The sequence below is a fragment of the Homo sapiens genome, chromosome 1 (genome assembly GCF_000001405.40).
Source record: "Homo sapiens chromosome 1, GRCh38.p14 Primary Assembly".
Classification (NCBI taxonomy): Eukaryota; Metazoa; Chordata; class Mammalia; order Primates; family Hominidae; genus Homo; species Homo sapiens.
Genome location: NC_000001.11, coordinates 11,892,044 through 11,905,117, shown reverse-complemented (window position 1 = coordinate 11,905,117; position 13,074 = coordinate 11,892,044). Strand labels below are relative to the sequence as shown.

Sequence of the window (13,074 nt, the reverse complement as noted above, 5' to 3'; positions counted from 1 at the left end):
CAAAAAGGCATAGATTGTGTGACTGTACTTAGGTAAAATATCTAGAAGAGGGGATAATAGGAGTTATTGGGTAACGTATAGAGTTTCTGTTTCGGGTGATGAAAAATTTTGGAAATGGATGGCAGTGATGGTATTACAACATTGTGAATGTTTTGAATTTATTTTTAATTTTTAGAGATGAGGTCTTGCTCTGTTGCCCAGTTAATTTTTAATTTTTAATTTTTTTTTTTATTTTTTGTAGAAACTAGGTCTCATTATATTGGCCAGGCTTAATTTGTTTATTTTTATTTTTTGTGAGCTGTAATCTTGCTATGTTGCTCAGGCTGGTCTCAAACTTTTGGCCTCAAGTGATCCTCCTGTCTCAGCCGCCCAAAGTGTTGGGATTACAGGTGTGAACCACCATGCCTGGCCCATTTCCCCTGATCAGGGAAAATGCGTTGTTATGTGTGATATTTGGTGTGAGTTTTTTTTTTTGTTTTTTTTTTTTTGGCGGAGTCTCGCTCTGTTGCCAGGCTGGAGTGCAGTGACGTGGTCTCAGCTCACTGCAACCTCCAACTCCCTGGTTCAAGTGATTCTCTTGTCTCAGCCTCCCAAGTAGTTGGGATTACAGGCACACGCCACCATGCTCAGCTAATTTTTGTGTTTTTAGTAGAGACAAGGTTTCACCATGTTGGCCACGATGGTCTCGATCTCCTGACATCATGATCTGCCTGCTTCAGCCTCCCAAAGTGCTGGGACTACAGGCATGAGTCACCGCGTCTGGCCTGGTGTAAGATTTTAACATACAGCCTGTATTAATTATGTTAGGGAAATTTCCTTCTATCATCAGGTTTCTCTGTGCTGAGTTTTTTTATCAAATGCTCTTCAGAATCTATTGAGATAGTTGTATAAATTTTCTCCTTTGAATTCAGCAATATGGTGAATTACATTGCTAGATTTTTTTTTTTTTTTTTGAGACAGAGTCTCACTCTGTTGCCCAGGCTGGAGTGCAGTGGCACGATCTCAGCTCACCGTAACCTCCGCCTCCAGGTTCAAGCGTTTCGTGTGCCTCAGCCTCCTGAGTAGCTGGGATTACAGGTGTGCACCACCATGCCTGGCTAGTTTTTCTATTTTTAGTAGAAATGGGGTTTTGTCCTGTTGGCCAGGCTGGTTGCAAACTCCTGACCTCAGGTGACCCACCCACCTTGGCCTTCCAAAGTGCTGGGATTACAGGTGTGAACCACTGCTCCTGGGCCATTGCTAGATTTTTGGATGTTAATTATTTGCATTCCTGAGATAAGGCCCATTTAAGTCATAATACATTTTTCTTTATAATTTGATTTTTCCTTTTTCTTTTTTTTGAGACAGAGTCTTGTTCCGTCACCAAGGCTGGAGTGCAGTGGCACAATCTCAGCTCACGGCAGCCTCAACCTCCCAGGCTCAAGCAATCCTTCCACCTCAGCCCCCTAAGTAGCTGGGACTACAGGCATGCAGCACCACACCCGGCTAAGATTTTTCCTTTTTGAAAATGAAAAATGCAAGACTCAAAGATCAAAACTATGTAAAAACATATATTCAGAGAAGTCCCACTCCTGTCCCTAGCCCCTTCGCCCAGTTTCCACTCATCCCCATTTTCAATAGTTTCTTTATTTAAAGAAAATTTGTTTACATTTTGTTATTTGTAATAGAGATGGGGTCTCACTATGTTGCCCAGGCTGGTCTCTAACTCCTGGGCTTAAGTGATCCTCCCAACTCCCAAAGTGCTGGGATTTCAGGTGTGAGCCACTGCACCCAACACATTTTCAATAGTTTCTAGTTTAAATTTTCTGTGTGTGTGTGTGTGTGTGTGTGTGTGTTTTGTAACAATAACCACACACATATAGTTTATTTCTTCTTCCTTTTTTTTTTTTCTTTTTTTGAGACAGGGTCTTACTCTGTCACCCAGGCAGGAGTATAGTGGTGTGATCTTGGCTCACCGCAACCTCCGCCTCCTGGATTCAAACATTTCTCCTGCCTCAGCCTCCTGAGTAGCTGGGATTATAGGTGCCCGCCACCACACGTGGCTAATTTTTGTATTTTTAGTAGAGGCGGGGTTTCACCATGTTGGCCAGACTGGTCTCGAGATCCTGACCTCAGGTGATCCACCTGCCTGGGCCTCCCAGAGTGCTGGGATTACAGGCATGAGCCACCACGCCTGGCACACACTTTTTTTTTTTTCTTTTGAGACGGAGTCTCGCTCTGTTCCCCAGGCTGTAGTGCATTGGCAAGATCTTGGCTTACTGCAACCTTCAACCCGCTGGGTTCAAGCAATTCTCCTGCCTCAGCCTCCTGAGTAGCTGGGATTACAGATGTGTGCCATCATGCCTGGGGAATTTTTGTATTTTTAGTAGAGACAGGGTTTCACCATGTTGGCCAGGCTGGTCTCAAACTCCTGACCGCAAGTGATCTGCCCGCCTCAGCCTCCCAAAGTGCTCGGTTTACAGGCATGAGCCACCATGCCTGGCCTGAAACTTCTACTTTTAAAAGTAGAGCTTCAAATCCAGCTCCATAGAGCATGGAATTGCGGAATCAGGGTACTTGAATAAAGTCTGAATCTCAGCCAAAGCCAGGGAGATTTGAAACCCAAGAGAAAATGCCAGGAAGCCCCGCTAGCTCTGATGAGGTCAGACGAGTGAAAGCTGTTCCTGCGGGTACCAAAGCTCAGAATGTTGGCAAAGCAGCATGGATTGTGGGAGGCTTGCCTTGGGTCCCATCTGTGGGTCACCAAAATGTCAACCTAAAATCATCAAAAGGGTTAGAATCTAATTTAAAGAGTGTTTATTCAAGCACAAAGTGTGAGGATGGACAATTCGGAAACACCAACTCCAAAGGAATGGTCAGCGTTCTAAAGTAGACAGAGACAGGGGAGTTTTTAGCAGGATTATAGCATTTTTCTTTTTCTTTTCTTTTCTTTTTTCTTTCTTTCTTTCTTTTTTTTTTTTTTTTTGAGACGGAGTCTCGCTCTGTCACCCAGGCTGGAGTACAGTGGTGTGATCTCGGCTCACTGCAACCTCCACCTCTCGGGTTCAAGTGATTCTCCTGCCTCAGCCTCCCAAGTAGCTGGGATTACAGGCACCCGCCACCACGCCCGGCTAATTTTTGAATTTTTAGTAGAGACGGGGTTTCACCATGTTGGTCAGGCTGGTCTCAAACTCCTGACCTCGTGATCCACCCACCTCGGCCTCCCAAAGTGCTGAGATTACAGGTGTGAAGCACTGCACCTGGCCATTCTTTTTTTTTTTTTTTTTTTGGCAGAGTCTCACTCTGTCACCCAGGTTGGAGTGCAGTGGTGTGATCTCGGCTCACTGCAACCTGCATCTCCTGAGTTCAAGAGATTCTCCTGCCTCAGCCTCTTGAGTAGCCACCACGCCCGGCTCATTTTTGTGTTTTTAGTAGAGATGGGGTTTCACCATGTTGGCCAGGCTGGTGTCGAATTCCTGACCTCAGGTGATCCTCCCGCCTCGGCCTTCCAGCACAGCTATAGGCGTGAGTCACTGTGCCCAGCCTCTTTTTTTTTTTTGAGATGGAGTTCGCTCTGTCACCCAGGCTGGAGTGCAGTGGTGTGATCATAGCTCACTGGAGCCTCAACTTCGCTGGCTCAGGTGATTCTCCCACCACAGCCTCCTGAGTAGCTGGGACTAGAGGCACTCATGCCACCATACTGGCTAATTTTTTGTATTTTTTGCAGAGACGGGGTTTTTCCATGTTGCCCAGGCTGGTCTTGAACCCCTGGGCTCAAGCCATCCGCTAGCCTCGGCCTCCTGAAGTGCTGGGATTACAGGTGTGAGCCACCATGCCGAGCCTTTAAAAAGTTACCGTAAATATATTTGACATTTTGAAATTCTGTGTGTCAAAAATAATCAAGCAAAAAGGTGAGCCTCCCACCAGAATCATACTTGCAATACACCAAAGGGTTAACAATTGTACTATATCAAAAAGCCTTACAAATTAATGAGATAAAGCTGGGTGCGGTGGCTCACGCTTGTAATCCCAGACCTTTGGGAGTCTGAAGAGGGCAGATGGCTTCAGCCCAGGAGTTCAAGACCAACCTGGGCAATGTGGTGAAACCCTGTATCTAAGAAAAAAAAAAAAAGAAAAATTAATGGGATCAATACTAAACTGCAATAGAAAATCATTGATAGTAGAGAGAAAAATTTTCCAGAAGAAATGTACATGTCTAATAAATATGTGAAAACCTGTTTGGTCTTACTAGTAATCAGAGGACTCCAAATACAAGCAACTCTGTATGTCACGTCCCATCTATTACATTAGCAAATACTTTTAAAATATAAAATTCAGAGGCAGCCATGTTACAGTGAAACAGGAACGCAGATGCCACAGGTAGAAATAGGAACTGGCCCAATCTTACTAAAATGTCACTTGATGATATGTATCAAGAGCCCTAAAAAAAGTGTTTTTTGAGACACAGTTTCTCTCTGTTGCCCAGGTGGGAGTGCAGTGGTGCGATCTTGGCTCACTGCAGCTTCTGCCTCCAAGGTTCAAGCAGTTCTCGTGCCTCCGTCTCCTGAGTAGCTGAGACTGCAGGTGTGTGCCACCATGCCTGGCTAATTTTTGTATTTTTAGTAGAGACAGGGTTTCACCATGTTGCTCAGACTGGTCTTGAACTCCTGGCCCCAAGTGATCCACCCACCTCAGCCTCCCAAAGTACTAGGATTACAGGTGTGAGCCACCGCGCCCAGCCTAACAAAAGTATTTTAACAGTTAATATATGTCAAGCCAATAATTTCACATGTGGGAATACATCCTAAGGAAACAGAAATGTACAAAAATGTGTGCAAAGAAACACACTTTTTTTTTTTTTTGAGACAGAGTCTCATTCTGTCGCTCAGGATGGAGTACAGTAGTACAATCTCAGCTCAACCTCCACCTCCTGGGTTCAAGTGATTCTCCTGCCTCAGCCTCCTGAGTAGCTGGGATTACAGGCATTCGCCACCACGCCCGGTGAAATTTTTTTTTTTTTGAGACAGAGTCTTGCTCTGTTGTCCAGGCTAGAGTGCAGTGGCACTATCTCGGCTCACTGCAACCTCCACCTCCCAGGTTCAAGCGATTCTCCTGCCTCAGTCTCCTGAGTAGCTAGGATTACAGGCACCAGCCACCATGCCCGGCTCATTTTTTTGTATTTTTAGTAGAGACAGGGTTTCACCGTGTTAGCCAGGATGGTCTTGATCTCCTGACCCCGTGATCCACCCACCTCAGCCTCCCAAAGTGCTGGAATTACAGGCGTGAGCCACAGGGCCTGGCCAACAGTAATTTTTATAATCAGAAGAATAAAAGAACAATGATATTGAAAAGAGAGGGAAAGAGAGAGAGGGAAGGGGAGAGATGCAGAGCTTACAAACAAGGGCATCTGACTGGGGAGGGGTCAGGAGCTGAGAGGGGAAGATAAGGGCCCAGAAGTGGAAGGGGGTCTTGCTAAGGCCCATTACATGATGTCACCTGGGCCCTTGGGGGCTGCAGTTTGCAGTAGCTCAGGAGGGCATGCCTCAGCCCTGGGGCCCCACCCCTATTCTCCCGGCTCTCTTCTCTCTTGCACCATCTCTCCCCATTTCCAAGGAAGGTGGCTGCCCCTGCCAGATGCAGACGCATTGCACCGACCTCATTGTCTAGCTTTAACTAACTTGAAAGCAAGGGATAGGAGGGAGGAAAGGAACAGAGTCCCCTAGGAATGTTAGAGGCAGGGGGATGGGAAATTCTGCAGCCCAGCTGAGAGTGGGAGCCCGTTGGTTTGGAGGGGATAAAGCATAAGACCAAAGTACAAATAATGATCCGATGGGCCAGCCTGTGATGCCTGCTCAGAGGCACTAGAGTGGTCCCAGAGAAAGCGCTAGAGACAATTTTAGGAGACAGAAAGCAGGATTTGATCACCCAAGGACAGAATCTGAGGCAAGGAAGAGCTGGGGGGCTCTGTGCCGGTCTGAGCCCTTGAAACAAATCCTACATAGGGGATTGCTACGGGGCTAGCGGTCTCAGGGACTCCAGGGCTGAGTCCTGGCCGTGAACCCCGCGGGCGCCCGCATTTCAGCACCGGGGACAGGGGCCGACCTCGGATCCAGGTGGGTCCTCAGATCCACTGGCGGCTCCGTAGCTCCACTAGTTCCTGGCCCCCTCCCTGGCCAATCTCAGCCCGGGCAGTTCCCTTGGAGACCTCCGTGGCCCCTCCATCCTGGACCCCCCTGGTGCCCGTGCTGCGGCTCCCGAGCACTTGGCAGGTGATGCGACCCGCGGAGCCAACCTGGAGCGCCCTCGGGTCCCGGCAGCCAAGATGGGCTCTGCGATCTGGGGTAGGGGCAGGAGAAGACCTAGTCTCCCCACCGCCCCCCACGTTTGTCTCAGCTTGGACAGAGTCTTGCCCTCCGGGGATGGCGCAAAAAGGAAAACCCCGAGGTGAGAGCAGGGAGGCAGCCAGAGGCACTCTAAGGAGAAGCCGGGGCCAGCACAGGTGCGGGACGTTGTCCCTGCCCGCCCAAGCGCATGGCCCTTCCAGAGACACCCCCTTTCTCAAGCGCAGCCCCGACCAGCCGCTCCCCGCCCCTCCCCACGCCCTGACCCCGCCAGCTTCCATCGCCCCAGGGCACTGGGAGCCAGAACATGGACCAGGGCAACCCAGATCCCCGAGTCAGCCCTCCCATGGCCCAGCGGCTCCAGAAATTCGATACAGCCCCCCCCACCCACCCCAGGCGACTTCTAAATCGCCGGCAGAATTCAAGTCTCTGGCCTGAACTGTGCCCGGCTGGGCCTCGGCCCTCCCACCGCTCCATGGGGGCTTTTGCGGTGCTCCGTCTAGCGCTTTGCCTCTGCCAGGCTTAGGCGTCTGGGCATCCCGGAGAAGGCGGCTTCCTATCCCGCCTCTGCGTCCCCACTCCCTGTCCCCAGGCCATCTCCCACCCACTAGCCCGGTTAGTGCTCTGCCATCCAGGTGGATAGAGCGGGCCAAACACAGGCCTCGGGAATTTACATCATTTCACCTTGGCTTGGGAGTGCACGATGTGACTCCGCAATAGATTTACTTTCCTTTTTTTTCTTTTCTTTTCTTTCTTTTTTTTTTTTTTTGAGACGGAGCCTCGCTCTGTCGCCCAGGCTGGAGTGCCGTGGCGCGATCTCAGCTCACTGTAACCTCTGCTTCCCGGGTTCACGCCATTCTCCTGCCTCAGCCTCCCGAGTAGCTGGGACTACTGGCGCCCACCACCACGCCCGGCTAATTTTTTTGTATTTTTAGTAGAGACGGGGTTTCACCGTGTTAGCCAGGATGGTCTCGATCTCCTGACCTCGTGATCCACCCGCCTCGGCCTCCCAAAGTGCTGGGATTACAGGCATGAGCCACCGCGCCCGGCCTTGAGACAATTTTTTTTTTTTTTTTAAGGCTAGTGAAGGAAAGCAGGGAATGGAGAGGGAACAAAGAAATCTGCAACTGCTTGTGATTGAAAGAAAAGCTCTTGCTGTTTTTGGTCTAAAATCATCTATTTTACCTATATTTAAAGGAAATTTTAGCTGGATATGGAATTCTGCATTCACAGGGTTTTTATTCTTTTGGCAGTTTAAAGTAAGTGGATATATTCAATTATCTTCTTGTCTCTGTTATTTCTGATAAAGTTAGACATCAGTCTATATTCAAATTTCCCTACTTGTTTATGAAACGACCTGTTAGAATTGATTAATTCAAATCAGCGTCCTAAAACGATCCTCACAGTGCATTTGGTAATTATATCATTTCAGCCTTCTTTAATCTGAACGACTCTTATTCCCCATCACCTTGTGTGTGTGTGTGTCGGGGGGAGGGGGGGCACTGAAGACTTTTGAAGGACTGGATCAGTTACCTATCCTATGGAATATCCCTCATCCTGAATTTGATCTGATTTGCAGAATTTCTTCCTGCAAATTTAATTTCTTCCTATGCCCTCTGAACTTCCTTTAAACTAGATGTCAGATCGGCAACCCTGATTAGATTCCATTTGTCATTTTTTAATTTTATTTGTTTGACATTAAATATCTCAAACAACAGCCCTTCATCTACCTTATAGGGCTAGCAAAGCATTAGATGATCATGAAGCATTTCTCAGCACCTGGCTTTTTTTTTTTTTTTTTTTTTTTTTTTTTTTTTTTTGAGATGGAGTCTTGCTCTGTCACCCAGGCTGGAATGCAGTGGCACGATCTTGGCTCACTGCAAGCTCCACCTCCGGGTTCATGCCATTCTCCTGCCTCAGCCTTCCAAGTAGCTGGGACTACAAGCTCCCGCCACGACACCCAGCTAATTTTGTGTATTTTTAGTAGAGATGGGGTTTCACTGTGTTAGCCAGGATGGTCTCGATCTCCTGACCTCATGATCTACCCGCCTCAGCCTCCCGAAGTGCTGGGATTACAGGTGTTAGCCACCGTACCTGGCCTAGCACCTTGCTTTTTTTTCTTGAGATAGGGTTGCACTATGTTGCCCAGGTTGGCCTCAAACTCTCGAACTCCTGGGCTCAAGCGATCCTCCCTCCTCAGCCTCCTGAGTAGCTGGGACCGCAGGCATGTGCCACCACGCCCGGCATTGCTACTGTCACTTGGTCAGTTATGCCAGTGGTGACAGATTGGCAGCCTGCTGGTTGAATCCAGACTGCAGATGTGTCTGATCTTGTTTTTAATTAATAAAATGAAACCCTTAAAAAGCTGGAGGGTTTGTAAATTTCTTTTTTTTTTTTTTTTTTTTTTTTTTTTTTTTTTTGAGACGGAGTCTTGCTCTGTCGCCCAGGCTGGAGTGCAGTGGCGGGATCTCGGCTCACTGCAACCTCTGCCTCCCAGGTTCAAGCAATTCCTCTGCCTCACCCTTCCAAGTAGCTGGATTACAGGCATGCACCACCATACCTGGCTAATTTTATATTTTTAGTAGAGATGTTGGTCAGGCTGGTTTCGAACCCCTGACCTCAGGTGATCCTCCTGTCTCCGTCTTCCAAAGTGCTGGAATTACAGGCGTGAGCCACTGTGCCCGGATGCTCTTTTTCTTTCTCTTTTTTTCTTTTATTTCTTTTTGTTTGTTTGTTTGTTTCGAGATGGAGTCTCACTCTGTTGCCAGGCTGGAGTTCAGTGGCACGATTTCAGCTCACTGCAACCTCTGCCTCCCGGGTTCAAGTGATTCTCTTGCCTCAGCCTCCTGAGTAGCTGGGATTACAGGCACGCACCACTACGCCCGGCTAATTTTTGTATTTTTAGTAGAGATGGGGTTTTACCATGTTGGTCAGGCTGGTCTTGAACTCCTGACCTCATGATCTGCCCGCCTCGGCCTCCCAAAGTTCTGAAATTACAGGCATGAGCCACCGTGCCCGGCTTAAAATTTTTTTTTAGAGATTACGTCTTGGGTTTTGCTGTGTTGCCCAGGCTGCTCTCCACCTCCTGTCCTCAAGCAAGCCTCTGGCCTCAGCCTCCCAAAGTGCTAGGATTACAGGCATGAGCCACTGCACAGGGCCTGAAATTTTTAATTTTATATAAATTTTTAATTTTATATTTTTAATTTTCAATTATATATATTATATATATATTTTTTAGTGTAATAAGCATATGTCCCAGCCACCAATCAGAATTAACACATGCTGTTATTCTGCCTGTGCCCGGGGGAAACTGAGGCTCAGAGAAGGTGAGTAACTTGCTCGAGATCACACTGCTGATCAGTGATCACCAGATAAGGCAGTCTGGCTCTGGAAGTGGCTTGCTTCATCCGTCCCTGATGCTTCTCCCTTCGTGGCCTACACAGGAGAAGGTGTCAGCAGGACTGGGTCCTGGGGACTTCTATGCAGACAGAGGACTGGGGGACACTGATGCCTCACTCTGGGTATAAACTTCCCTCCCTTCCTCCCTCATAGGTCACGGCCAGGGTCAATGAGACCATGCCTTCAGTGTGCTGGGCAGAGGATTTGACACATAGCACACACTTGATCTATGTGAGCTGTGGGGACAGCCCTGGATTGCCTCTTTTCCTCCCCAGAGATGAACTGCCTGCCCCTGCCAGGTTCCTGGGGTCAGGGTGAGCCCTGTCCCTGTCTCCCCATCACTGGAGGCTGTGCCAGCAGCAAGGCTGGGAGAAGGAAGATGGGGAGGTTTATAGTTGCAACGCTTGCTAATGATAATGATTGGTATGAAAATTTCAGGCTGATGGAAAATAGGGATGACATGAGGCCCCAGATGGCTCCTCTGTTCTTCCTCTCTGAATTCAAACAGCCAGGACATTGTGCAGAAAACTGCCTTGTTTCCATGCACAGAAACTAGCTAGCCTTTCTCCTGGTCTGGCCCTTGGCAGAAGACATGACTTTATCCATGCTTTCATCCAGCCATCCATTCATCCGCTCACCCACCCATTCATCCATCCACCTACCCACCCATCCATCCATCCATCCATCCACCCACCCATCCACCCATCCATCCATCCATTCATCCACCCACCCACCCATTCATCCATCCACCTACCCACCCATCCAACCACCCATCCACCCATCCATCCATCCACCCACCCATCCACCCATCCATCCATCCACCCATCCATCCATTCATCCTCTCACCCACCCATTCATCCATCCACCTACCCACCCATCCACCCACCCATCCATCCACCCATCCACCCATCCATCCACCCACCCATCCATCCACCCACCCACCCATCCATCCATCCATCCATCCATCCATCCATCCATCCATTCATCCATCCATCCATCCACTCACCCACCCATTCATCCATCCACCCACCCACCCACCCATCCACCCATCCATCCTTGCAAGATCAGTTCCCTGCTTTGAGCCTTCCAGCTGCAACTTTCTGAGGTTCTAGAAGGAGGAATACTCACCCCTGTTCATGGGGTCAAGTATAGGAGATAATTGCCTGCGAGACGCACTGACCCCCTCCCTTTCCCCCATTATATCTCACCCCACTCTCCCCAGACACTCTGGGGATGCAGGGTCCCCTGGAGGGCGCTGCTACTGCATCTCCAGCAGGTGGCGCTGGAGGCTCTCTCCTTACCTGGGCGACACTGCATGCTTGATTTGGGAAGGAGCAGGCTGACCAGGTGTGGGAAGACAGGGTGGTGGCCCAGCCCAAGGCCAGGCTGGGTTCTTCCCCACTCCACACCCCAGGTGGTAGGTGAGACACAGAACTCTCAGATGAGATCTTGGTCCTTGGGTGGGTGCTCCTGGCTGTGCAGGAGGCCTGTCCCCCATTTGGTCTGGGACCAGTACGCGGTGGTTTGAGTCAACTCACTCCATCTCTCCTGAGATTTTTGCCCAGGCATAGACTTTGCAAATACACAGACCTCAGTTCAAATCTCAGCTCTGCCTCTTAAAGGCTGTGTGATCTTGGCCAAGTTGCTCTGTCTCTCTGGGCCTCAGGTTGCTTACCAGTAAAATGTGGTAATAATGCCTATTGTCAGGTCAACATAAGGGTTAAACGGGTCGGCACCAAATCATGATAGGTGGTCAGTGAGTGCAGGTTCCCTCCACCATCCACGGGCCTCATGTTGGTGGTCCTGTCAGCTGTCAGAGCCCAGCATGGGGCTGTATTCATGGCTACACTGTTCCTGAACAAGGACAGAATTGGGCTTCTAATAAGACAGGACTGAAGGGTGGGGTGAGGAAAGTTCCAGAAACTGCTTCTCAAGCCCACAGACAGCTGCACTAATAGCTGCCCCCTCCTTCTGGGGACTTGGGCAATCACTCCAACTTTCCAGTAACTTCTGCTTCTTTCACAATAGGCTGGAGGGATAATTCTACCTAAAAAATAATTGCTTTGCTAGGAAAAGCCTGGCAGGTAAAACCTCATCATGTTACCATGCATCAGGGATTAAAAAAACAAAACAACAAAGCCAGGCACAGTGACACACATCTGTAAGCTTAGCTACTTGGGAGGCTGAGGCTGGAGGATTGCTTGAGCCCAGGAGTTTGACAGCAGCCTGGGCAACACAGTGAGACCCCTATTAAAAAAAGCTAAAGAAAAGAAAAGAACAAAACTTAGTCCTGGCCGGGCGCAGTGGCTCACACCTGTAATCCCAGCACTTTGGGAGACTGAGGCGGGTGGATCACCCGAGGTCAGGAGTTCGAGACCAGCCTGGCCAACATGGTGAAACCCTGTCTCTAATAAAAATACAAAAATTAGCTGGTACAGTGGCAGGTGCCTGTAATGCCAGACACTTGGGAGGCTGAGGCAGGAGAATTGCTTGAACCAGAAGGTGGAGGTTGCAGTGAGCGGAGAGAGTGCCATTGCACTCCAGCCTGGGTGACAGAGTGAGACTTCATCTTAAAAAAACAACAAGAACTCAGTCCTACAGGTGGGCGATTTCTGTTTACTTCCCTTGGAAAGGCTGAGTCTGTCCCCACAAACTGGTGCTTAGAGCACCTGTATCTGGGCAGTGAGTGATTAAGCCCCGGAGTGGGTTGGCGGTAAAGCTGGGAGTCCTGTGCCAGGGGAGACACTAAACAGGTGTTTCCAATGTGTGTTTGTGTCCTGGGTGTTCAGAAGCTGGAGATGAGCTGGGGAGGTTTGTCTTTGGTCCCAAATAGCTTCTCCTAGGCTTCTTTTAGGGGACCAGGAATGCCAGGTGGTCTCGAAGGCAGGGTCCACAGCAAACTGGTTTGCTCCTGTCCTGTGGATGGGATGGGTAGGATGGGAGGCACCTGGGCTGTGCTTCCCCCACTGGAGGTTTGAGATCTCAGAGCTATGGGACTCCAAGAAGCAGGCAAGCTCCAGGGACATGAGGACCCTTTGCAGGGTGAGGAATCAGATTGAGTGAGACACAGGAAGCCCATGGATGGGGAAGGGGGCCTCTGAGGTGGGGCAGGTCTCAGTCTGGAGCTCCTGGGAGTGACACTGGAATCCGTTCATCACCGACGCCCGGTGGACTCTCCTTTTCTGCATTCCACTGGCCAGCCCCAGAGAGGTGGGGGCCATCTTTGGACCTACAGAAATCTTCATGTCACATGCTCCACCAGCACCTCAGCAACTTTATCTCCACCATTTGCTTTTCTCTAGATGCTGAGAGTTCAGGTGACAGGGCTTGGGTCAGCTCTCCTGGTGAAAAGTGC

The 13,074-nt window shown here is 49.4% G+C and overlaps 2 annotated features.

The window, feature by feature from the left end:
- Window positions 5,729–6,280: an enhancer, noted in NCBI's record as "H3K27ac-H3K4me1 hESC enhancer chr1:11958895-11959446 (GRCh37/hg19 assembly coordinates)". NCBI's record gives its function as "activates a minimal SCP1, AML or CMV promoter by ChIP-STARR-seq in naive H9 embryonic stem cells {active_cell/tissue: H9 hESC(naive)}" and the evidence as "EXISTENCE:reporter gene assay evidence [ECO:0000049][PMID:30033119]".
- Window positions 11,097–11,256: an enhancer, noted in NCBI's record as "active region_179". NCBI's record gives its function as "activates an Ori minimal core promoter by ATAC-STARR-seq in GM12878 lymphoblastoid cells {active_cell/tissue: GM12878}" and the evidence as "EXISTENCE:reporter gene assay evidence [ECO:0000049][PMID:35858748]".